The sequence below is a fragment of the Homo sapiens genome, chromosome 19 (assembly GCF_000001405.40).
Source record: "Homo sapiens chromosome 19, GRCh38.p14 Primary Assembly".
NCBI classification, from domain to species: domain Eukaryota; kingdom Metazoa; phylum Chordata; class Mammalia; order Primates; family Hominidae; genus Homo; species Homo sapiens.
Window position 1 is genome coordinate 19,059,989 of NC_000019.10, and position 26,408 is coordinate 19,086,396.

The window sequence follows — 26,408 nt, forward strand, 5'->3', positions numbered from 1 at the left end:
GCCGGCTCCTCCTAGCACATGAGGTTTCAGCTCACGTTGCCTTCTCCAGGAGAGACCCCCATCTCATCACCTCATGTGCTCTGGCTCTGACACTGGGCCCCATCTGAGGTCACCTCATTTGTGAACTCTCCTGTTTGTCTTGCCCCCACCATCGGCTGGCTCCCTGCAGGGAGGCCCCTGTCCCCACTTGCTGTGCCTTCAGCTTCCCGTCAGTGTTTTTGAGTGTTCACCTGAATAAACTGACAAGCACTCGAGGTCCCTGCCAGGTGGCCCCAGCGTCCTCCCCTGGGCCTGGGCCAAGCTGCAGGCTTCTTCAGGAAGGGGTGGTTCTGCCTTATCTGTCCCTCCCACCTTAGCCCAAGGAAGTGGGTGTCTTCAGTAGATGCAGCTAGCATGTTTGGACAGCCTCAGGTTGGGTGGGGGCCCCTCACCAAAGATCTCACATTTCCCTGGGGTTATGGCCTGGCTTTCCATCCCCCCTCGGCCACTTCAGGCATATCACCTCCCGTCTGTGAGCCTCGGCCTTCTCATCTGAACTCAGGCTAGATCTGGCACACTGGAGGGCCACAGCCCCTAGAAAGGCGCGCTTCAGGGGATGTCCAGAACATAACTCCCCCCAGCCCCCATCCCCGTCGCCTTCCCTTTTCTGTCACCCAGGCTGGAGTGCAGTGGCGCCATCTCGGCTCACTGCAAGCTCTGCCTCCCAGGTTCACACCATTCTCCTGCCTCAGCCTCCTGAGTAGCTGGGATTACAGGCGCCTGCCACCACCCCCGGCTAATTTTTTTGTATTTTTAGTAGAGATGGGGTTTCACCTTGTTAGCCAGGATGGTCTTGATCTCCTGACCTCGTGATCCGCCCGCCTCGGCCTCCCAAAGTGCTAGGATTACAGGCGTGAGCCACCGCACCCGGCCCTGGCCTTCTCTTAAGTAGCTTTTGCTGTCCTCCTTGATGACATCGAGACCTGGGCTGAGGTGGAGCCTGCTGCAAGGATGGTGCGAGTGTGTTCAGGCCACGCCTCTGCTACTGTAGGCTCTTGGTGAAGTGGCCTGACTTATCTGAGCCTTGGGAGGTGAATGAGGCCACTCTGACCCCAGCCAGGCTTGGTTGTTGTCACTGCTGTGTTCAGGATGTCTCCCTCCAGCCAGGGATGGGCTTGGGCTCCTGGGAAAGGAACACAGATTTTTTCTGTTGTGAACATACATCTCCCAGAGGCTGGACTAAACCTCATTTTCCAGATAGGAAATAGACTCATGGGCATTTGAGGGGCTGCGGTGGGATGAGACCACAGCTTGGCCTGCCTCCAGGCCCCTCATCTTTTTCCAAAGCTGTTAACCTGACCTTGGGCAAAAGGCCTTTGGGCCTCAGGTGATTAGGCCTGGACGCTGTGCCAGGGCCTGGCTCACAGATGATTCCTGGGATCCCCAAGAGGTAGAGGAGACTGGAGGGCGAAGAGGCAGTGTCCTGTCCAGGGCTGGCCAGCCAAAGCAGAAGAGCCGAGATCCTGGGCACCCTAGCTGGGCTTACATGAGTGCCCATGGTGGGGGTGTCCATTGCTATTGCCAAGGTGCTTTGCCTGCCATTGCTGGAAGGCGGTAGGGAGGTTGGCTGGCGCCAGCCTGCTAAAGAACGAGCAGAAGCTAGAGAGGCAGCCCCAGGCTGGGCCAGAGCCTGACCTTTGCCTTAGTTGGCTCTGTCCCTGGAGGCACTGTGGGACCTTCCAGGAGCTTTGTTACCTCCCCCTCCCAGGGCCTGGCAGGTGGGCACTGGGAGTGGGCGCTCCTCGGCGTAGATATCTCCCTCTTGGTGTGGCAAGCCACGCCCATAGTTGGTCTGTGTCCATGAAGCGCTATTTACAGAGAGGGAAACAGGCCCAGAGAAGAACAATATATCATCACCAGCCTTCCATGAGTGCTTACTGTGGACGAAGCCATTGTAAGTGTTTTGCTTCCATTTCATCAATGCTCACATCAGCCCTAGGAGACAGCCGGGAAACTGAAGTGGGGAGCTTGTGTTATTTGCTGAAGGTCCTGTGGCTGTTACTGGCCATTACTTACGTTAAAAAGAGCAGGGATTCAAACTCAGCCCTGGGTCCTTCCACCAAGGAATATTCTCCACCATAGGCTCAGTTTTCTTATCTGCTAAGTGGGCACTGTCACGTCCACCTGGAAGTGAGGTGGGGAGATGGTATTGGAGAAAGCCCAGTGGGGACCTGGCACCCAATTGATGTTCAACTGACCTCAGCTTCCCCCTCTTCTCTGGAGGGCAGAATGGAGGCCAGATCCTGGAAGTTGCCAGGAAGCAAACCACAGGTGGGAGGTATGGGAGAGGAGGTCCAGGTAGGCATATCGTGAGAATATCAGGAGTTTGATGATGGCCTTGGGCTAGTGATTTCCCGTCACATCCTCCCCATTTGAAACTTGTGGATCACACACTTAGCAGGGGCTTGTGCAGCCCTGAAATGTGAGCCCTTTCTAAGGTTGGTTTCAGCCTTGCTCCCTCCCAGGATTCCCTGGTTCTGAACTTGATCTCCACCAACCCTGGCCAGCACCTAGAGGAAATAAGAGCTGGTATCTGGAAACATTTGTAGCCCTCTCCATCCTGAAGATGAAGGGTGAGTCATAGAACAGAGTGGCTTCGGGGGAGGTGCCGATGACACAGCCATGCCTGGGATGGCAGGTGTCTCCCTAAACTGCCGGCATTTTTCTGCACTTCACAGAGGAGCTGAGGCTCACAGGCCGCACATGACCTGCTCAGGGTCAAATGCTTTCACCAGATAATTAAAATGAGAGCTGAGTTGTAAATTTTCCCAGGGAAGCAACCCCAGAGAGGAAAGATCAAGGCATAGGAATCATTTTCCCCCCTCTTTTCCAAATGAAACAGCTGAGGCTCACAAGGGCTTTTGCCCAAGGTTGTGTGGTGGGCCAGTGATTGGACAAGGATTCAAACCCAGGTCTCTGAGGCCCCCAGTGGCTCTTCTCTGACACACTCTTTCCAAAAAGCAGGCTGCTCTAGATTCATTCTCTGGTTTAGCAACCAGAGAATGCTGTGTAACCTTGGGCAAGGAGCTTGACCTCTCTGTGCTCTGGTTTCTGTAAAAGGAGCCAGTGGTCTCTCTGACCTCATGGGATTGTGGTTAAGATTCAGTTAATTCAAAAAAAGACTTGGCAGGGAGAAGGCCCAACAGGGATGTCACTGGATACCGTGGCGGGGAAAGCTGGGACGCAGAGAGGTCAGACACTCAGAAAACCACGCAGCGCGTTTCAGTAGGATTCCGCCCCTTATTTCCATGTCTTCACACCACCTCGAGATGGAGAGGGCAGTTCAGAGTGACCTCCAGCGAATCTGCCCTCTCCGTGTCGTCTGCAGGGGATTAGTGGGGAGTAAGGGGATAGAGAATTATCCAGGAGTCCTTCAGCCTTGATGGTCCAAGTTCACATCCGCTTCTGTGCTAGGTGGCCAGAGGGCGGGCTCTACACGAGAGCCTCAGGGGACCCTGCGCCAGGCGTCCGAGGCCACGTCGGGTTGCCGCGCTCCGGGTCGGACTGCACCTTGAACGCTCCAGCCCTCCCCTGGGGGCGTACCGCCCACGGCCGCTGCGACTGGCCGCGGGGCCTGCCAGTCTTCGGCTTTGCGGCCAATCCCGGTCTCCCCCCAAGCTACGCCCTCCGTTCCTCTCGCCTCTGCCCCACCGGTAGCGCCAGTTTCTTCGTAGCCCCGCCCCTGGCCCCCAGCGATTGGCCGACAGTTCTGCCTGTTTTCTGCCAAGATTCCAATCCTCGCCTGCCTCCAGGCCCTCGCCTCCCAGCGCCTAGCACCCTGAGGGACCACTCAGGCACCCCAGGCCTCTCCCAATAGCCCCACCTCTGCCAATCAGCGATTGGCTTTAGGGGCTGCCCATCTGCTTCATACTCGCCAATCACTGTCGCTTCCAGCGCTGACTGGCCAGGGAGCAGCCAATCGGGGCGTGGCGTGGACCCCTCCCGTGGCGCGCTCTGGGGGTGCGCGAGGCGGGGCCGTGGCGGCTGGAGGTAGCGGCGGCGGCGACGCGTCCGGGCCGGTGAGGGGGCGCGGGGGGCGCCGGGGGGGCCCAAGCGTCAGCGGCCCGCGCCTGTCGGGCTGAACTGAGGTGAGGCACGGGTCCTGTCATGGATCCCGGGGCGAGGGGCGGATGAGGCGGGGCATGACAGTAGCGTCGCGAGGGCAGGAAGAGGTTAAAGACCCCCCCCAACCCCACACTCCACGTCTACTGCCCCCTGGGGGCTACTGCATCCAGGTTTGAGCCCGTCACCCGCAGTCCACGCACGCCTGACACCACGTCCCTTTTCGTTGACATCCCCCATACACTTTAGACTGTCCTTGCTGACATCTCCCACACCCCTGGGGCCTTGTCCCCGGCGCCCCGCACAGCTGGGTCTGACATCCCCCTCACACACCTGACACCGCGCCCCCACTCACGAACACCCGCCCCCACTCACGAACACCCCCCACATCACCTGAGTCTGTCCTTGTCGATGACACCCCCACACCCACACCTGAGCCTGTGACTCCTAACTCATGGCCTCGCAACTCACACCTGGACCTAGTCCCGTCCCCCACTGCCTTTCCTCATATCCAGGTATCTGCTCGCTACTCTCGTGCCCACTCCCCCAGCAACCTGTGTCTCTCTTCTCAGGGACCTTCCCCCTGGCACCTGCCCTCTGCCCTGGCAGCCCCACACCTCTGTCTCCCCCTTTTCTCTCTCCCACCTTGGGCTTTCTTCCACGTGCACCTGTGTTCGCACACCCTCTGTAATAATCCCCCCGAATCCCCCAGGTCCTCCAATAGTCCCCCAAGCCTTGGTATCTCAGGATCGCTGCACCCTCCCCTCCCCAAACAAAAGCTTACCCCAGTGTTCATTTCTAACAGTGCTTGACAGTCTATAAAGTGATTTCCGGACCTTAGAATAATCCCATCTGTCAGACCAAACCGGAATCATCTCCATTTTACCAGCCACAGACCTAAACCACTTGAATGCTAGAGGCAGAGCCTATTCTACCCTGGGCATCGCTGACCCTCTGCTGTGGACCCACCGCGTTTGGGCCCATCTGTTATGTTTATCTCAGAGGGATTGGCAGGAGTCGTGACTTTGACTGGGTCCGGAAAGGCTTAGCTGGAAGGGACGGCCCCTCTGCCAAGCGTGTGTCTCGGAGTCCTGGGGCAGGCTGGCGGTGGAGACGCTGCCGGAGGAGGGGGGCTCATCATCTTGGGTGCCTCCTGCAGGATGCCGGAGAGGGGGTTGCCGGGGCCGGGGCTCCCAGCTCTTGCAGACCCGGGACCCCTCTCCGACACTCCCTGGGCCCTTGAAGCCGATAAAGAGTAAGGAAACACTCTTTAGAGTGAGGCAAACTAATGTTTCAGCTGTTTAAAGCTAACCTGCAAAACGAGCCTGGGTGGTGCTAGGAATGATTCTTCTGGAATTTTTTAGTTCCCTTGAGTCTGATTTGCAAGCATGCAGCATAGAAGGAGGACAGTGGCTTTGTTGTTGAAAAGCAATAACGTGCCATTTCCTGTAAGGCTCCTGGAGCGTTTCTTACCCCCTCCCACCGCTCCCTGCAAAGACGGTACCAGAATGTTTCAGAGGGTCATGTCACCTTCAGCTTCTCCTGTGGAAACTGAAGCCATTTGGGTTTTCTGTCCAACTTCAATAGGAGTCATTTAAAACATATATGGGCATGTATGTATATATGTATGTATATGTGTGTGTGTTGTACACATATGTACATGTACCTATAATATTCATATGTTTATATACATATTTTATATATACATATTTCGTGTGTGTTATATATGTACATGTGTATAAACTTTGGCAAGATCATTGAGTATATAGTTTTTGGGTTTTTTTTGAGACGGAGTCTTGCTCTGTTGCCCAGGCTGGAGTGCAGTGGTGTGATCTCGGCTCACGGCAACCTCTGCCTCCTGGGTTCATGCAGTTCTCCTACCTCAGCCTCCTGAGTAGCTGGGATTACAGGCATGTGCCACCACACCCAGCTAATTTTTGTATTTTTAATAGAAACGGGGTTTCACCATGTTGGCTAGGCTGGTCTCGCACTCCTGACCCCAAGTGATCTGCTCGCCTCAGCCTCCCAAGATGCTGGGATTACAGGCGTGAGCCACCACACCCGGCCTATTATATAGTTAAAAAGAAAAAATCAAACAGTACAAAAGGTCACATAGTAGAAATCAGTCAGGTCTTCCCCAGCCTGTACCCCGTTCCTCCTCAGATGCACCTGCTGTTGATAATTTCTTATGTTTTCTTCCAGAGGTAGTCTATGACTGGGGTGGCAGAAAGGGGTCGGGGGAGGTATATATCCCCCACCCCTTTTAAACCACTGGTAAATTTGCATTGAGCAGACATATGCATTCTAAGGCCAGTCCCTTACTGATGGCTGTTTAAGCTGCAGCCCATATTTTTTTTTTCTTTCTTTTTTTTTTTTTGAGTTGGATTCTTGCTCTGTCGCCCAGGCTGGAGTGCAGTGGCGCGATCTCGGCTCACTGCAAGCTCCGCCTCCCAAGTTCAAGCCATTCTCCTGCCTCAGCCTCCTGAGTAGCTGGGACTACAGGCACCCACCACTACACCCGGCTAATTTTTTCATATTTTTTTAGTAGAGACGGGGTTTCACTGTGTTAGCCAGGATGGTCTCGATCTCCTGACCTTGTGATCAGCCTGCCTCGGTCTCCCAAAGTGCTGGGATTACAGGCGTGAGCCACTGCGCCCAGCCACTGCAGCCCATATTTAGCTTTTACAAACAGAGCTGCAATGGATAGATGCATGCATCAGCATGTACTAAATACACATTGAACGTATTTGGGCTCCAGCCGTGCTCAGACACTTCAGACCCCCCTGTCTTGCTGGCCATGCCTGTAGTCCACAGTTACTCAGGAGGCTGAGGTGGGAGGATTGCTTGAACCAAGGAGTTCAAGGCTGCAGTGAGCTATAATCATGCCACTGCACTCCTCTCCAGCCTGGACGACAGAGCTAGACCCTGTCTCAAAAAAAAAAAAAAAAAAGGGCCAAGTAAAAGGGCATATTCCTCCTCCTCCTCTCAACTGTGAAGTTGGAAAGCCTGATTCCTCTCCTGTGGCCAGCTCAGTTATCTTACTATCAAGTTTTGTGGTCTGTCCCATCTGATAGGTAAAAAACAGCACAAGAGATCCTTTTGAACATCACTTCCATGCTTCCTACCCCTGTCTTAGGTGTTCTGGCTTGTGGGGTAGGGATTAAACATTAGACTTGTTTCTCTGCCAGTCAGACTAAAGTTCAAGAAATATTTGGGGCTGGATGCAGTGGTTCACACCACCCAACACTTTGGGTGGATGAGGCAGGTGTATTGCTTGAGCCCAGGAGTTTCAGACCAGCTCGGGCAACATGGTGAAACCCTATCTCTATAAAAAAAATTTTAAAATTAGCCGGGCGTGGTGGCGTGCGTAAATAGTCTCAGCTAGTTGGGAGGCTAAGGTGGAGAACTGCTTGAGCCCAGGAGTTCAATGCTGCAGTGAGCTATGATTGCACCATTGCACTCCAGCCTGGGCAACAGAGCAAGACCCTGTTTTTCTGTTAAAAAAAATTTTTTTTGAGTTCCTGCTCTGTGAAGCTTGTCCCTATAGCAGGGAGCAGTGGTGGTGCTGAGATTTTGGCTCAAGGTACCTCAACAAGAACAGTTGCTAGAAGAACCATTTAGCTGTTGCTGATTTTTTTTTTTTTCACTTGGGTCTAGGAAAAGAAAGATGAGGGCATCATGAGAGATTGAGACGAGTCAGATGTTAAATCTGTCTGGGAAGCTGTTTCGAGACTCTCTCCAATTGTCCAATTTCTCACCACTGGTGCCAGATGGAGGGTGTCGTCATACTGAAGTCAGGCCTCTGCCCACGTGTCATACAGTTTTTTTTGTCTGTCTCTTCTATTTTGGCAGTTAGACATTAAGAGGGGATTATTGAGATAATCAGAATCATTCGCTCGTTTGGGTTTTGCAAGACAGAGCTTTTAAAAGTGCATTTGCATTTTTTATTTTAAACATGAAATACTTCTTCATAAAAAGTATATTGGCCGGGCACAGTGGCTCACACCTGTAATCCCAGCACTTTGGGAGGCCGAGGCGGGCAGATCATGAGGTCAGGAGTTCAAGACCAGCATGACCAACATGGTGAAACCCTGTCTCTACCAAAGAATACAAAAATTAGCCAGGCGTAGTGGCATGCGCCTGTAATCCTAGCTACTCAGGAAGCTGAGGCAGGAGAATTGCTTGAACCCGGGAGTTGGAGGTTGCAGTGAGCTGAGATCACACCATCGCACTCCAGCCTGGGCGACAGAGCGAGACTCTGTCTCAAAAAAAAAAAAAAAAAGTATATCATGTCGGGCCAGGCATGGTGGCTCACGCCTTTCATCCTAGCACTTTGGGAGGCCGAGGCAGGTGGATCACTTGATGTCAGGAGTTCAAGACCAGCCTAGCCAACATGGTGAAACCCCGTCTCTACTAAAAATACAAAAATTAGCCGGGCATGTTGGTGGGCGCCTGTATTCCCAGCTACTCTGGAGGCTGAGGCAGGGAGAATTGCTTAAACCCGGGAGGCGGAGGTTGCAGCGAGCCAAGATCGTGCCACTGCACTCCAGCCTGGGCAACAGGGCAAGACTCTGTCTCAAGAAAAAAATAAAAACAAAAATAGCCGGGTGTGGTGGTGCATGCCCATAGTCCCAGCTACTCGGGAGACTGAGGCAGGAGAATCGTTTGAACCCTGGAGGCGGAGGTTGCAGTGAGCTGAGATGGCACCACTGCACTCCAGCCTGGGTGACAGAGCGACACTCAGTCTCAAATAAATAAATAAATAAATAAATAAATAAATAAATAAATTAGCTGGCCTTGTTGGCATGTACCCATAGTCCTAGCTACTCAGGAGGCTGAGGTGGGAGGATCACTTGAGCTCAGGGGGTTGAGGCTGCAGTGAGCCATGGTTTGTGCCACTGCACTCCAGCCTGGGTGACAGTGAGGTTCTGTCTCTTTAAAAAAAAAAAAAAAGTATATAACATGTATGTGAAAAGAAAGAAGATTTAACCAATAATAAAATTAGCACCCAACTCAGGAAGTAGAACGATGTCCCCTGGAGGCCCCACCCTGTTCACAGAGCTATTTTTAAAATATGCTTGTCAACATTTGTTTTCTTCACTGAGCACCTTTTGCTACTACCATCTTGGGCAGAATGCTTGGATTCCAGGGGCTCAACAAAGTTCTCTGCTGGCCAGATTTTCTGCTGAGCTCTCTGCCAGCCCAGCAGCCTGTGAGGTTCTGGCAGGCAAATGGCTGAGGACAAGCCACCAGCTGAGGGGCAGGCCAACACTTGGAGGCTTGGCCTCAGATCCCTGCATATTCGTTTCCCGTGGCTGCCATAATAAATTACCACAAACTGGGGGGCTTCAGACAACAGAAATGTATCCTGTCGTAGTTGTGGAGGCCTAAAGTCCAAAATGAAGGTGTCAACAGGACTGGTTCCTTCTGGAGGCTCTGAGGGAGTCCTTCCCAGGCCTTTCTCCGGGCAAACTTTGAAGTTCTTGGCTCGTGGCTACATCACTCCAGTCTCTGCCTTTGTATTAATGTGGCTTTCTCCCTGTTGTGTGTGTCTTTGTGTCCTCTATTTTTTCTTTCTTTTTAGAGATGGGGTCTCACTATGTTGTTCACGCTGGAGTGCAGTGATATGATCATAGTTCACTGCAACCTCTAACTCTTTGGCTTAAGTGATTCTCCCGCTTCAGCCTGCTGAGTAGCTGGGACTATAGGCGCAGGCCACCACTCCTGGATCTCCTCTTCTTTTTTTTTTTTTTTGAGACAAGCTCTTGCTCTGTTGCCCAGGCTGGACTGCAGTGGTGCGATCTTCGCTCACTGCAACCTCTGCCTCCCAGGTTCAAGCGATTCTCCTGCCTCAGCCTCCCGAGTAGTTGGGATTATAGGCATGCACCACCACATCCAGCTAATTTTATTTTTTATTTTTTTGAGACAGAGTCTTGCTCTATCGCCCAGGCTGGAGTGCAGTGGCATGATCTCGGCTCACTGCAAGCTCCACCTCCCAGGTTCACACCATTCTCCTGCCTCAGCTTCCAGAGTAGCTGGGACTACAGGTGCCCGCCACCACGCCCGGCTAATTTTCTGTATTTTTTTAGTAGAGACAGGGTTTCACTGTGTTAGCCAGGATGGTCTCGATCTCCTGACCTTGTGATCCGCCTGCCTCGGCCTCCCAAAGTGCTGGGATTACAGGTGTGAGCCACCCTGCCTGGCCATTTTTTTTTTTTTTTTTTTTAGACAGAGTTTTGCCCTTGTTGCCCAGGCTGGAGTACAATGGTGTGATCTCGGCTCACCGCAACCTCCACCTCCCAGGTTCAAGCCATTCTCCTGCCTCAGCCTCCCAAGTAGCTAGGATTACAGGTGCGCACCACCGCATCCAGCTAATTTTTGTATTTTCAGTAGAGACACGGTTTTGCCACGTTGGCCAGGCTGGTCTTGAACTGACCTCAAGTGATCTGCCCAACTCGGCCTCCCAAAGTGCTGGGATTACAGATGTGAACCACTCCCGGCCGATCCCCTCTTCTTATAAGGACACTAGTCCTTGGGTTTAGGGCTCACCCTAAATCTCAAGGTGAACTCATCTTAAGATCCTTAACTGATTGCATCTGCAAAGACCCTATTTCCAAAGAAGGCCATGTTCTGAGGTTCCAGGTGGACATGAATTTGGGGGATGTCATTCAACCCTTATACTTGCTGAGCTAGTTATTTCCAACAGGACATTATTAAGGGAAATGCTTGTTCAGGTACCTCTGTTACTTCAGGAAGAATAGGCCAATGGGGTCGGACACATTCCTCAGCCCCTCCAGATGGCTCATGTTGGCAGCTTTGCTTACTCACCTGTCTCCCTCGGAAGGTGGAGGCATCCAGATGCTCTAAGCCACCAAGGACCTGACTAGTGAATGCATACCGTCTTTTTTTTTTTTTTTTTTTAATACAGGGTCTCACTTTCTCACTTTGTTGCTGAGGCTGGAGTGGGAGTGTGGTGGCAAGATCACAGCTCACTGCCACCTCGAATTCCTGGGCTCAAGTGATCCTCCTGCCTCAGCCTCCCAAGTAGCTGGGACTATAGGCATGCACCACCAAGCCCGGCTAACTTTTAAATTTTTTGTAGAGACAGGGTTTCTCCATCCTTCCCAGACTGGTCTCAAACCCCTGGGTTCAAGCCATCCTCCCGCCTCATCCTCCCAAAGTGCTGGAATTAGAGGTGTAAGCCGCCACGCCCAGCTCCAAGTGTGTACATCTTAATTTTGCTTTCTGGGCTGTGAGCTTGGTCCTGTGATTATCTCCTGTTGATACCTGGTCTCAGAAGGATGGGGAGCATGGACACACATCAGACCACCACCAAGTGATTGGAGTTCCATATTGGTCAGTCTTGAGGAGAAGCTGGGGTGCTACGGTCTGATCTTCAGGGGGCCAGGGAGATTTTCAGGAAACTCTGGGAGATCTGAAGCTAATGAGGAATTAACTACATGGCAGAGCCAAGGGCTAGCAGAAAGCAAAATTAGGGCTGGTGCGGTGGCTCACACCTGTAATCCCAGCACTTTGGGAGGCCGAGGTGGGCGGAGCACCTGAGGTCAGGAGTTTGAGACCAGCCTGGCCAACATGGTGAAACCTATCTCTGCTAAAAATATAAAAATTAGCCAGCCATGGTGGCAGGCACCTGTAATCTCAGCTACTCAGGAGACTGAAGCAGGAGAATCACTTGAACCTGGGAGGCAGAGGTTGCACTGAGCCAAGATTGCACCACTGCACTCCAGCCTAGGCAACAAAGCGAGAATCCGTCTCAAAAAAAAAAACAACTAAAAAAATAAAAATAAAGGGATGTTCTTTGATGAGCAGCGGGACAAATCATCTAAGTTTTGTTTCACATTGTAGGGAGATTAACCTGTGGGGGGATGCTCAGACTGGCATGGGGCGACCCAGGATGAATGAGGGTCTTCAGGTGGTGAGATTAGGCAAGTGGGATCTTGCTGTGTTGCCCAGGCTGATCTCCAATTCCTGGGCTCGAGCTGTCCTCCCACCCCAGCCTCCCAAAGTATTGGAATTACAGGCGTGAGCCACTGTGCCTGGCGAATGTGTACATTTCAATCATGGATCATGGGGAAGCCATGTGTCAGTGTCTCAAAAGCATACTCAATAGGCCGGGGCCGTGTTAAATGGGATTTGCCCCAGCCCTGTCTGATTCCTTATTAGGGAGAACGATACTTACCAATACTTGTCACCCACTCGAGTGGCACTATCCTGTGAAGATGGTGACAGATGAGGAAATCAAGGAATGGGGAGGTTTATTTTTTACTTTAAATTTTTTGTTTGTTTTTTCAGAGTCTCACTGTGTTACCCAGGCTGGAGTGCAGTGGCCTGATCTTGGCTCACTGCAGTCTCTGCCTCCTGGGCTCAAGTGATTCTCATGCCTCAGCCTCCTGAGTAGCTAGGATTACAGGCGCCTGCCACCACGCCTGGCTAATTTTTGTATTTAGCCAGGCGTGGAGACAGGGTTTCGCCATGTTGGCCAGGCTGGTCTCAAACTCCTGACCTCAAGTGATCTGCCCGCCTCGGCCTCCCAAAATGCTGGGATTACAGGCATGAGCCACCTCACTCAGCCAAAAAATTTTTTTTAGAGACAGGGTCTTGTTCTGTTGCCCAGGCTAGAGTGCAGTGGTGTAATCACAGCACATGCAGCCTCGACCTCCTGGGTTCAAGTGATCTTCCCACCTCAACCTCCTGAGTAGCTGAGACTATAAGTGTGCGCCACCATACCTGGCTAATTTATTTTGTAGAGACAGGGCCTCACTCTGTCACCCAGGCTGGAGTGCAGTGGTGGGATCATAGCTCACTGAAGCCTTGAACTCCTGGCCTCAAGTGATCCTCCTGCCTCGGCCTCCCAAAGTGCTGGGATTACAGGTGTGACCCACTGTATGTGGCCTATGTGGAGGTTTAGTGACACATCCAAGGTGTCACATGCTAGACCCCATCATCCCACAACACAGTGTGTGGTGGCAGGGAGCCTGTGCATGCTGCTGTGTGGCTATGAGGAAGAGAATGATTGAAGTGGTGCATTCTTGCTGCTGTGGGAGGGATGGCTGAAGAGCAGGAGGACAGGACAGCAACAGGCAAAAGCACCTGTCTGCAGCTGTTATGTTTCTGCTTCCTTGCTGGGCATGGACACTGAGTGTGACATGGACCCTTGCCTTCCAGGGACCCCTGCCTTCCAGGGACCCCCAGCCTGGTTGCAGGGAAGCAAGTGGAGAGTGGCCCCTCAAGTGCAGCAGAGAACCACAGACTGCTCAGTGCAGGGCAGAGCAGTTAACTTTGGGGGCAGTGAGGCCAGGACATTTAGGAGCTTTGAAGGATGCAGAGAAGTTTGCCAGGATCGGAGACTGCGGCCAAAGCAAAACTTGGCATGTCCAGGGAATTAATTCACTTGTCCAGCAAATAGTTGTTGAAGGCCAATCAAATGCGGATTGCTGTGCCAGGTTCCGTGTGGTAAGAACATGGGGCTTTTTTTTTTTTTTGAGTTGAAGTCTTTCACCATCACCCAGGCTGGAGTGCAGTGGCATGATCTTGGCTCACTGCAACCTCCGTCTCCTAGGTTCAAGCAATTCTCCTGCCCCAGCCTCCCGAATAGCTGGGATTACAGGTATGTACCACCATGCTGGCTAATTTTTGTATTTTTAGTAGAGACGGGGTTTAACCATGTTGGCCAGGATAGTCTTGAACTCCCGACCTTAAATGATCCATCTGCCTTGGCCTCCCAAACTGCTGGGATTAAAGGCGTGAGCCACTGTGCCCAGCTAATTTTTGTATTTTTGTAGAGACAGGGTTTTACCATGTTGCCCAGGCTGGTCTTGAACTCGTGGCCTCAAGTGATCTGCCCACCTTGGCCTCCCAAAGTGCTGGGATTACAGGCATGAGCCACCACGCCCAACCAAACATAGGGCTTTTGAGGCGAGGACAGTTACTGAAGTAGACCCTCTTAGTGGAGGAATGTGAGTACCATTCAGTACCTTGGATTGTTTTAGATAACATCTAACGGCCTTTGGTGACAGGTGTGGGCAGCACTGTCTGCAAGGACAGAGGACAGCAATTGATCATAGAATTTCCTGGATCTTTCAGGGTGTTTAACCCATAGAGACCGCAACAAGGGTTGCCTTAACCAAAGATTGTCTGAAAGGCACACAGGAGCAAATGCAGCAGGAAGAAACTCCCCATTTGTGAGGCAGCCTGCGGGGTTGGGGTTAACGGGCAGCAGCCATTATGTAAGATGTGCCCGGATCCCTTAGGCAGAGTTAATGCTTATTAACTAGAAAAGAAAACAGCCTTTATCGGCTGGCAGATAGGATGTTAATTGGCTTCCGTTTACTGAGAGATTACAGGATCCATTTCACGGCTGCTTATAATAAACTCCATCCACAGAGAAACTGTCCCCACCCCCACCCAACATTTGTACAAACATTTCCTGAGTCCCAAGGGGTGGAGCTGGCAGTTGTATGGTGGTCCCCACAAGGTAACAGCATAAACGGTGGGCCTGTCTTATGTCTGGTCGGGAAGCTATGAGACAGGCTCAAGGGAATCAGGCACATGTGCATATGAGTCTGTGTGTGTGTGACAGTGTGTGTGAGAGAGTGTGTGTGTGCGTGCGTGTATGTGTGTGTGTGTGAGTGTATGTGTGAGCGAGTGTGAGTGTGTGTGTATGTGTGAGTGTGTATGTATTAGGATAGCCTGTGTACATGGGGCTTATAGGATGCTTGGGTTTGAAATTGCCTGATTCAGAACAAGAAGCAGCCTTGTGGCTGGGCGCAGTGGTTCACACCTGTAATCCCAACACTTTGGGAGGCAGAGGCAGGTCGACTGCTTGAGGCCAGGAGTTTGAGACCAGCCTGGGCAGCGTAGCAAGACCCCGTCTCTACTAAAAATAATTTTAAAATTAGCTGGGCATGATAGTGTACACCCATAGTCCTAGCTACTCAGAGGCTAAGGTGGAAAGATCACCTGAGCCCAAAAGATGGAGGCTGCAGTGAGCTATGATTTTACCACTGCATTCCAGCCTGGGTGACAGAGTGAGACCCTGTCTCAAAAAAAAAAGAAGTAGCTTGTCCTGCCCTCTCCCAAGCAACTGTCAACTTGCTTGGAACCAGTGTTCCCATTGCTCTGGAGGTTCTATGCTGAGGCTGGTGTGATCATGAGTTATCGAAGATCCCATGCTCCAGGTTCACGTTTCCTGAATAATGCTGCTTAGTAAGTCATTTCCTATGTCATCCTCCCATACCCCGCCGAGCTTTGTTTTTTGTTTGATGAATGGAAAGACTGCATGAACAGAAGCAGCATGGGAAAAGATACACGTATGTTATTTGGGGCTGGCCCCCCTCTGCCTGGCCGCTGGTAGTCACCCTTGTGGGGACACCTGAATCCCAGTTCAGAAAGCACTGGCATCCTAGGTACTCGCGAAAGGTACCTAGAGTGAACGTGGCAAGGCTGGGCCTCGGAGCCACAGGACACTGTCATCTGTGGTTGTAAATACTATGTGGGGCTGGGGGAGTACGAGGTACCTACCCCAGCACAGCATACGAGTCAGGACTCTGGCAGGTGCAAGTGACAGAAACCCATCCTATGCTGACTGAACTGGAAAGGGTGCTTCCTGGGCTCCATGACAGCAAAGTCCGTGTGCTTTTGGCACCACTGGCTGCCAGATCCCCCTAGCCTGCAGGTATCCTCCTTCACCTCCTGGCCTTGCTCTGCCCTCTAACTCTGTGTCAACTCTGCCCTGCAGTCTCACACCCTACTGGCTTCCCCTCCCCTGAAGAAAGAGGACTTCTCCGGCCCGATGGTTCCCTCAAAAGTCCCAGATCTTGGTCTTTGGGGGCAGCACCCTGAACCTAGGGGAGTGTGAAGTCTCATTACCTGACCATGGCCACCTGGGTCACCCTGGAGTCAAGGGGAGGATCAGCCCCACTTTCTTCTCCACAGTGACAGGGAGCAGAGCGAGTGGTTTCCCAGAATGCTGTCCTCAGAAGGGATGGCCACTGTGCGTGTGGACCAACTGTAGAGCTTCAGTGCCTCCTCCAGGCTTTCATCACTGCTAAGATCATCAACAGGTATTCTCGGCCAGGTGTAGTGGCTCATGCCTGTAATCCCAGCATTTTGGGAGGCTGAGGCGGGTGGATACCTTGAGGTCAGGAGTTTGAGACCAGCCTGCCCAACATGGTGAAACCCTATCTCTACTAAAAAAAAAAAATACAAAAATTGGCCAGACCTGGTGGTGTGTGTCTGTAATCCCAGCTACTGGGGAGGCTGAGGCACAAGAATCACTTGAACCTGGGAGGTGGAGGTTGCAGTGAGCCGAGATCATGCCACTGCACTCCAGCCTGGGCAGCACAGTGAGACTCCATCTTAAAAAAACAAAACAAAACAGGTGTTCTCCACAGGTTGGAGGAAAGTGGGAAAGAGCAAGCTGAACACGTCCACTCCCAAAGGCCATCCATTCAAGTCCCCTGGGAATTACAAATGGCTTGCCTGCCCCACTCCCAGGTTTGGCATCCATTGGCCTGGGAGGGGGTGTGGCAGAGGTGTTTTGTTTGCACTGTTTAAACATTTTAAATTGAGATATAGCTTACATAGAATAAAGCACATAAATCCTAAGTGTATATATAGCTCAGTGAATTTTTATGTATATATGCATCCTTGGAACCAGATCAAGACAGTTTTCAAGCCCCCAGCTGGCTCCTTCCTGCCCCCTCCCTGATATACCCCCTAGAGGTAACCAGTATTCTAATCTTTATCACCATAAATGTGTTTTGTACTTACGTTTCTTAAAAATTGTGGTGGGCTGTGTGCAATGGCTCATGTTTGTAATTCCAGCACTTTGGGAGGCAGAGGCTGGAGGACAGCTTGAGCCCAGGAGTTCAAGACCAGCCTGGGCAACATAGTAAGACCCCATCTCTACAAAAAATTTAAAATTTAGCTGCGCATGGTGGCCCACACCTGTAGCCCCAGCTACTCAGGAGGCTGAGGTAGGAGGATCATTTGAGCCGGGGAGTCGGAGGCCGCAGTGAGCCATCATAGTGCCACTGCACTGCAGCCTGGGTGGCAGAGCGAGAGACCCTGTGTCAAAAATAAATAAATAAAAAGTGTGGTAAAATACACAGTACTTAAAAGTGCCATTTTTAAGTGTTCAGTTCAGTGGCATTAAGTACATTCACACTGTTGTGCAACCATCACCACCATCCGTCTCCACAACTCTTCCGTCTTGCAAAACTGAAACTGTTCCCACTAAACAGTAATTCTCTGTTCCCCTGCTCCCAGCCCCTGGCACCTGCCATTCTACTTTCTGTCTCTATGAATGTGATGACTCTAGGGACCTCATATAAGTGGATTCGTATGGTATTTGTCCTTTTGTGACTGGCTCATTTCACTCAGCATGACATCCCCAGGGTCCATCCGTGTGGCAGCAGTTATCGACATTTGGATGTGTATAAAACATTTTGTTTACTGAGCTTGACTGTTATGCAGACAGAATCATTCAGTATGCAGCTGGGCACAGTGGCTCACACGTGTAATCCCAGCGCTTTGGGAGGCCAAGATGGGCAGATCACCTGAGGCCAGGAGTTCGAAACCAGCCTGGCCAACATGGCGAAACCCCATCTTTCCTAAATACAAAAAATTAGCTGGGTGTGGTGGTGCACACCTGTAATCCCAGCTACTCGGGAGGCTGAGGCACAAGAATCACTTGAATCCGGGAGGTGGAAGTTGCAGTGAGCTGAGATCGTGCCATTGCACTCCAGCCTGGGCGACAGAGTGAGACTCCAACTCAAAAAAAAAGAATCGTTCAGTATGCAACCTTTTGTGCCTGGCTTCTGCCTCTTCACTGGTGTGTCTGTGAGATCCATCCGTGTTGTTGTCGCGTGTAGCAGCAGTTTGGTGTGTTACATAGTGTCCCATCGTGGGACATACCACACACGTGTTCCCATTCTCCTATGGGTGGTCTTTGGGGTTGTGTCCATAGAGTGTGCTCATCATTGCCATGATATGCTGCTGGGCAGGTCTTCAAAGCTCCCAGGGCTGTATATGGGGAGGCTGGAGGGAGAGGCCTCTATGGCAGGTGTGGCTTGTAGGAATCTTGGCTGCACTGGGCAGAAGCAGAGGTCTGGAGGTGGGAGACCCAGCCGGCATTGGGCGGTGGGGGTACTTTGTGTCTCCCTACAAGCACAGCCTGCAATGGCCCACTTGCATTCAGCATGAAGGTGCGTATGCCTGACACAGCCTCAGCCTGTTTGTTTCCCTGGTCAGCCTGAGCTCACTCCAGCCTTGGGTTCTTCCTTCTTGCTGTTCTCCCTCCCTGGTGTACTCCTTCCCTTCCAGATCCCAGGACAGACCCCTTTCCCCCACCCCATGTCCCTCCTCCCACATAGACTCTGTGCATATGGTCATCCTTGTGTGGGTCATTTGCAGTACCGATAGAGCCCGTGAAGGTGTGCCTCCGCAGAGCATGTACGCAGCGAGCATGTACGCAGCAAGCATGCAGCAAGCACACAGAGGGAGTGACATACGAATGTCCAGCAGCTAATCTAATTCCAAGTAACCTAGTAGGGAGGGAAGGATCCGTAAGAAAAGGGAGACCCAAGGTCATGAACACTGCCTGAGTCAGCCCAGGGTGTACCCAGGCTCCCACCACCCTGTTATCCTGCCAGAGCAGAGAAGGGCCTCCCAGGGCTGGTGGGAACCTGGGCAGGTTTTTGTATGTGTGTCAAAATGCACATAACTTGAAAGTTACCATTGTGAGCTTTTTTTTTTTGAGATGTAGTCTTGCTCTTGTCCCCCAGGCTGGAGTGCAGTGGCGCGCTCTTGGCTCATTGTGAGCGTTTTAAAGTGAACAATTCAGTGGTATATAGTACAGTCACAGTGTTGTGCAACCACTGCCTTCATCTGATTTCAGAACTTTTATTTTTTTATTTATTTTTATTTTTTAGACAATTTTTTATTTTTTTATTTTTAATTTTTATTTTTTATCTTGCTGTGTCACCCAGGCTGGAGTGCAATGGCGCAATCTCGGCTCACTGCAACCTCCACCTCCCTGGTTCAAGCGATTCTCCTGCCTCAACCTCCTGAGTAGCTGGGATTACAGGTGCATGCCATCATATCCAGCTAATTTTTGTATTTTTAGTAGAGACAGGGTCTCACCATGTTGGCCAGGGTGGTCTTGAACTCATGACTTCAAGTTATCTGACTGACTCAGCCTCCTGAAGTGCTGGAATTATAGGTGTGAGCCACCACACCTGGCCAATTTCAGAACATTTTCATCACCCCCAAAAGGAAATCCCATCCCCATGAGCAGTCACTCCCCATTCCACAGCCCCCAGCCCCTAGCAACCACCAATCTGGTTCCTGTCTCTATGGATTTACCTGTTCTGGGCATTTCATATCAATGGAACCTCACACTATGTGGCCTTTTGTGTCTGGCTTCTCTACTCAGTATCGTGTTTTTGAGGTTCATCTATGTTGTAGCATGGATCAGTGCTTCATTCCTTTTCATGGCTGAGTAGTAGTCTGTCATGCGAACATTTTGTATATCCATTCATCTGTTGATGAGCAGTTGGGTTACTTCCACTTTTTGGCTGTTGTGAATCTTACTGCTAGGAGCATTCATGTACAAGTTTCATTGTTGTTGCTATTGTTTCTATTGTGTTGGGGTCTCACTATGTTGCCCAGGCTGGTCTTGAACTCCTAGCCTCAAGCATCCTCCTGCTTTAGCCTCCCAAAGTGCTGGGATTATGGGTGTGAGCCACCATGACCAACCCCATGCACAAGTTTTGTGTGGACCCTTTGGTTCTGTGCCTGGAAGTGGAATTGCTGGGCCACAATAGTATCTCCCTGTGTAACTTGTGAAGGAACCTCCAGGCTGATTTCCACAATGGCTGCCCCATCTAACATTCCCAGCATACAAGGACACCAGTTTCTCCACTTGCTCGCCTGGCAGGTTTTAGTCAGATGCTTGGCAGGATGGGTGGGAGTCAGGAGGAGAACGGGTGTTCCGCATGTGTAGGCTTGTCAGCCAGCACTGGGGTGGGATGGTGAGACCAACTCTCAGATGAGGAGGCCGAGGTCCTGGGAGCTGGTACACTTGCCTGAGGGTGCTCATCTGGTGAAGAGCAGAGTGGGCTTGAATCTGTGACCCTGCCTTCAAGTTCACAATGGGAAATGCTTCCTCAGCAGGTGACTGAGGGTGAAGGGTCACTGCTTGTGCCCCAGCAGTGACATTTTAGGGATAAGGACAGCCCCACCCCCTACCCATTGGATCCATGAGTAAGGAGACAGAAAAGGAAGGAGGCAAGGGGAGGGGCTCTCACCCAGAAGTACAGCGTCCTCTTCCTTCATTTGGACCAGGCTCAGGGCTCAGGGTTCTGCTGATGAAATAGGTCCCTCCCAAGCCAGGCACAGTGGCTCACACCTGTAATCCCAACACTTTGGGAGGTTCAGGTGGGAGGATCACTTGAGGCCAGGAGTTCGAGACTAGCCTGGGCAACATAGCAAGACCTCATCTCTACAAAAAAATTAAGAAATTAAGGCTGGGCATGGTGGTGGTGCATGCCTGTAATCCCAGCACTTTGGGAGGCCAAGGTGGGCAGATTGCATGAGCTTAGTTTGAGACCAGCCTGGGCAACATGGTGAAACCCCGTCTCTACGAAAAACACAAAAATTAGCTGGGCTTGGTGGTACCTATCTGTGGTCCCAGCTACTTGGGAAGCTAAGGCAGGAGGGTCTCTTGAGCCCAGGAGATCAAAGCTGCAGTGACCTGAGATTGCGCTACTGCACTCCAGCCTGGGCAACAGAGAGAGACCCTATAAAATTTAAAAAAAAAAAAAAAAAAGAGGGAGGGAGAGAGGGAAATTAACCAGGCATGGTGGTACACATGTATAGTCCCAGCTATTCAGGAAACTGAGGCAGGAGTTTGGGGAATCCCTTGAGCCCAGGAGTTTGAAGTTACAATGAGCTGATTGTGCCACTACACTCCTACCTGGGTGACAGAGTGAGACCCTGAAAAAATAAAAAAAAGAAGAAAGAAAGAATAAAGAAAAGAAAGGAGGGAGGAAGGGAGGGAAAGAGAGGAAGGGAAGAAGGAGAAATACCCTCCCCACAGACTTGTCATTGGGGCACATTTCTGCAGGATGTCCCAAGTGGCCCCAGGGTGACTTTCCAGCACTGGACCCATAAGGAACCACAGGGACCACCACTATGACCAGCCTGGCAGGGGGTGATGATGAGAGGAAGTGACACCCCAACAACAGAACCTGGAAAGAAGTGTTTCCAGTGCCAGTTGGCCCGTCTGTTTTTAAATAAACAGAAGCATGTTTCATGTTTTGTCCTCATAGCGTCCCTGGCAGTGTCATGGGACACTCAGGTGGTACCACTAGTTCTGACAACCTCTTCTCGCTTGGGAAGCCGAGGTGGGGGCTGATGGGCGTAGGTAGACTACCTGTCCCTTATAGTGACAAAGAGGAGAATGCCACTGAGGGTGGGGGTCATGGGAACTGGGGCTTCCTCCCCGAACCCATCCAAGCCTCCCTGTCCCAGGAAACGACCTCACCACCTCCAGGTCTCAGGCAGAACCTGGACAGGCTCCTGAGGCGCCCGCCACCTCCCTCCACTGCAGCCTACCGTCCAGGCCCTACGCTGTCACCCGAGTGGTCCCGTGGTGTCCTCTGGCTTCCTTGCCTCACTGTCCTCTTCGCTCCTTTAGCCGAGTGACCTCTGTCCCTGGAGACCCATTCCTTCTCTCACTAGCCCCATGGGCTTTGCATTTTGTGGCTGGAATGTGGCTCTGCCATGCCTTGGACACTGCCCCTCAGGGAGGCCGACCTGATCACCTGGTCACTGGTCGCAAGTCTGGGTACACGTTGTCATGGGAGTGATTGGCCTCCTGGGACCACTCCCACTAGGGCTGGCAGCTCTAGTGTCTGGTTATTTGACGTCAGCCTGACGTCCACCTCCCGTCACTCCCCTGGCCACTGGCCCAGTTGGTCCTCTTCCCTTGTGACAGCCTGTGTCCACTTCCTTTTGCCGCCATAACCACCACAAATGTGGAGGCGTAAAGCAACACATTTGTCATCTTTAGGTTCTGGTCATCAGGAGTCTAAAATGGGAGTGCAGGGCTGGGTTTCTTCTGGAGGCTCAGGAAGAGAATCTGTGTCTTTGCCTTTCCCAGCTTCTATCCCCCAGGGCCTCTCCCTCCACCTCTAAAGCCAGCAGCGGAGGGCACTCACATCTCCAGTTCTCCTGCGTCTATCTTTGTTCGTTCTGGTCCTTTTCCTTTTCCTTTCCTTTCCTGACAGAGTCTTGCTCCATCACCCAGGCTGGAGTGCAGTGGCACAACCTCCACCTCCTGGGTTCAGGCAATTCTTGTGCCTCAGCCACCCAAGTAGCTGGGGCTACAGGAATGTGCCACCACACCCGACTAATTTTTGTATTTTTTGAAAGAGACAGGGTTTTGCCATGTCGACCAGGCTGGTCTCGATGCCTGACCTCAATTGATCCACCTGCCTTGGCCTCCCAAAGGGCTGGAATTACAAGCATGAGCCACTGATCTTGGCCTTTTTTTTTTGTTTTTGAGACAAGGTCTTGCTGTGTCACCCAGGCTGGGGTTCAGTGGTGTGATCACACCTCGTTGCAGCCTCCAACTCCTGGGCTCAAGCCATCCTCCCATCTTGGCCTCCTACAGGTATGTGCCACCAAGCCCAACTAATTTTTTTTTTGTTGTTGTTGTTGAGATGGAGTCTCCCTCTGTCACCCAGGCTAGAGTGTAGTGGGGCGATCTCAGCTCACTGCAACCTCTGCCTCCTGGGTTCAAGTGATTCTCCTGCCTCAGCCTCCCTGAGTAGCTGGGACTACAGGTGCGTGCCACCACACCCAGCTAATTTTTTTTGTATTTTTAGGAGAGGTGAGGTTTCACCATGTTGGCCAGGATGGTCATGAACTCTTGACCTCAGGTGATCCACCTGCCTCAGCCTCCCAAAGTGCTGGTATTACAGGTGTGAGCCACCCAGCTAATTTTTAAAATTTTTGTACAAAATGAGATTTCACTATGTTACCCAGGCTGCTCTCACCTGGCCCTCAAGTGATCTTCCCACCTCCCAAAGTGCTGAGATTACAAGGCGTGAGCCACTGCACCTGGCCTCTCCTGCATCCCCACATCGGGACCCTGGTGATTACATTGGGGCCATCCAGATAATCCAGGACAGTCTCCCCCATCTCAAGACCCTTAACTTCATCACATCTAAAAATTCCCTTTTGTCATGTAAGATCACATATTCATGGTGTCTAGGGTTTAGGATGCAGACATCTTTGAGTGCCATTATTGAGTCTAACGCAGCCCATTATGGTGGTCCTTAAGGTTCCCCTTTCCAGGGAAGTCACCCCAAATGTCAGGACAAGAGGGTTTCAGGATCTCCAGCCTCGGCTCTCTGGCCTCCTGCCCCTGCCCTGCCCAGCAGCGTCATTCAGCCTCTTCTGGGGCTCCTCTTACCTCAAGGGCGAAGGCCTGAATTGGCAAACCCTCAGCACTCACTGCACAGGCACCAGGCCAGGCCAGCACAGTGAACGAGTGTCGTGGAGGGAAGTCACAGGAGCAGTGAGGATGCAGAGCAGAGGTACAGCCTGGGCAAGGGGCAGAGAGCCCCAGAAAAAGTGAAAGGGTACCTCACTCCTGCATACCCCACTGCCCCAGCATGCACCTCCTGGCCCCTGCACACACCATCTGACACCCAACTGCCTCTAAATGCATCTCCAGGGCCCTGCACACACCTGCCCACACCCCACCACCCCAGCATGCCCCTGCAGGCACCTCCTGGGCCCTGCACACACCTGCCCGCACCCCACCACCCCAGCGTGCCCCTGCAGGCACCTTCAGGGCGCTGCACACACCTGCCCACACCCCACCACCCCAGCATGCCCCTGCAGGCACCTCCAGGGCCCTGCACACACCTGACTGCACCCCACCACCCCAGTGTGCCCCTGCAGGCACCTCCAGGGCCCTGCACACACCTGCCCATACCCCACCACCGCAACATGCCTGGACCCTGTACATACCTGCCTGCATCCCACCACCACAGTGTGCCCCGGCAGGCACCTTTGGGGTGTTGCACACACCATCTCCCACCCAGCGTCCACCACAGGCCCCACCTCCCCTCTACATCTGCATAGTCAGGTTTGGGGCCCACAGATGCTCTGACATAGGTATATCCAGTTCAGCTTCTCCAGCCACCTGAGTCTTTGGGGCAACCTCTTCATCGTAGTGAAATCTCCACCCACCTTCCCTCCCCAAACCCGCTTCTTTGTCTATGGCGGTGGATGTATAGCATCACATCCCCAGAGGGTAATGGAGCATTTGGGTTTAATGGACAGTGCAAAGTGAATATCCACAAGGCCACACAGATAGGAATCAATGACTGAAAAAATAAATGGGGGAGGAGAGACAGCCGTCCCTGTGGAATAATTCCAAGTCCTATCCATCGATGCTCCCCTTTCCGGGAGGTGGAGCTTAACCCATCCCCATCCCATCAGACTGGGCTGCTTCCAAAGAGTAGAGTAGGGAATGGGGAATACCCACTTGACAGAGGCCCCTGGCTGAACCCACCTTACCCAAGAGGTCCAGGTGCAGGTCACCTGGGGGAAGTTGCCCTCCTATGCCCCTGGAACTGGCTGTTCCTTTAGGTTAAGCAAAGTCTTGAGTAAGGGCACATGGGCAGGGCAAGGTGGTTCACACCCATAATCCCAGCTACTGGGGAGGTGAGGTAAGGCAGGAGGATCACTTGAGCCCAGGAGTTCCAGATCAGCCTGGGCAACATAGCGAGACCCCATCTCAAAAAAAAAAAAAAAAAGGTGGGGGTACATGGTCCTCTAGAGTGCTTGATGAAATGATGTTGAGACTCACCTCAGTGGCTGTGGGCTGCCTAGGGGCCAGGCTCCATGGAGAAGGACCCGGTTGTGGCTTTCGGATCCTGCACTGGGGCCTGAGTTCCCTCTGTCCTTGGACTTGGCCAAACTTCCCTGAGTTTCATCTGCAGAGTAGGGAAACAGCACCTCACCATGAGGGGTAAAGAGGAACTACGGTGCCCCCAGTCATTAGCGGCAGTGATTGTCACCATTGTCTTCAGCCCAGCTAGGCCCCACCAGCCAGTGGCTGTGGCCTCAGGCAAGCACTCAGACTGCCTCAGCTTCCCCAGCTGTGAAGCTGAACTGAGACTCCTCAGTTAAGGCTGGGAGGATTCCAGAGCACAGGGGCAAAGGGATCTCTGAACAATAGCCACATTTTTTCTTTTTTTTTTTTTTGGAGAAGGAGTCTCGTTCTGTCACCCACGCTGGAGTGCAGTGCCGCGATCTCAGCCCACTGCAACCTCTGCTTCCGAGGTTCAAGCTCTTCTCCTGCCTCAGCCTCCCGAGTAGCTGGGATTACAGGTGCTCACCACATGCCCAGCTAATTTTTGTATTTTTAGTAGAAATGGGCTTTCGCCATTTTGCTCAGGCTGGTCTTGAACTTCAGGTGAGGCCGGCCTTGGCCTCCCAAAGTGTTAGGATTACAGGTGTGAGCCACCACACCCGGCCAATAGCCACTATTGTGTTGTATGGGTGCCTGTGTCTTCACCCCATTCTCACCCCCACATGCAGAGGCAGAAACAGGCCCTGGAGGAAGGAAGGCCTTTGCCTGAGCATGGCCCCAGACACCCTGAGGGGAGGGGAGAGGGGAGAGAGGAGAGGAGGCAAGAGGAGAGGAGGGGAGAGGGGAGGGGAGGGGGCCAGCCAGGGTCAGGGTGCACTCTGCTGAGAAGGGCAATGGGTTCCCTGAAAACCAGGGCTGCCAGCGCCCTTCCCTGCCCCTCAACACTGAGCCCCTGGGTGTAGCCACGCTGGCTTAGAGTCACCCTCCACAGTACGCCTTGGGACCATGTGCCGTGGAGGACCTGGACCAAGAGGAGTCAGATCACCCGGCCAGTCCTTCTATAGCCACAGACACCCAACGTGTGTTTCCTGGACTTGGCATGCCCCAGAAGCTGCTGGTTTTCTCCAGGCTTTCTTTGTTTTAGCACTTTATGAGAGAGAGTCTCGCTCTGTCACACAGGCTGGAGTGCAGTGGCATGATCACTGCAACCTCTGCCTCCCAGGTTCAAGCGTTTCTCCTGCCTCAGCCTCCTGAGTAGCTAGGACTACAGGTGAGCACCACCATACCTGGCTAACTTTTGTATTTTTAGTAGAGACAGGGTTTCACCATGTTGCCCAGGCTGGTCTCGAACTCCTGACCTCAGGTGATCCACCTGCCTCGGCATCCCAAA

General features: G+C 52.3%; 1 protein-coding gene and 1 long non-coding RNA gene across 3 annotated transcripts in view, besides 2 other annotated features; one reads left to right on the forward strand and one right to left on the reverse strand.

The window, feature by feature from the left end:
* On the reverse strand, positions 838–3,537 carry LOC124904655 (uncharacterized). The gene is made up of 3 exons (XR_007067160.1): positions 3,202–3,537; positions 2,056–2,163; positions 838–1,162 (listed from the first exon to the last, which is right to left on the reverse strand). It is a non-coding gene; the product is annotated as an uncharacterized LOC124904655 (long non-coding RNA).
* Positions 3,478–3,647: a silencer, noted in NCBI's record as "silent region_10429". NCBI's record gives its function as "represses an Ori minimal core promoter by ATAC-STARR-seq in GM12878 lymphoblastoid cells {active_cell/tissue: GM12878}" and the evidence as "EXISTENCE:reporter gene assay evidence [ECO:0000049][PMID:35858748]".
* Positions 3,908–4,177: a silencer, noted in NCBI's record as "silent region_10430". NCBI's record gives its function as "represses an Ori minimal core promoter by ATAC-STARR-seq in GM12878 lymphoblastoid cells {active_cell/tissue: GM12878}" and the evidence as "EXISTENCE:reporter gene assay evidence [ECO:0000049][PMID:35858748]".
* Positions 4,006–26,408, forward strand: part of SLC25A42 (solute carrier family 25 member 42) — a 49,037-nt gene continuing 26,634 nt past the window's right edge. The window contains exon 1 of one of the 2 annotated variants that reach the window (NM_178526.5): positions 4,006–4,127. The gene's annotated coding sequence lies outside the window, so the exon portion shown is untranslated. The remainder of the gene's footprint in view (positions 4,128–26,408) is intronic. The other variant, NM_001321544.2, reaches the window with a different exon arrangement.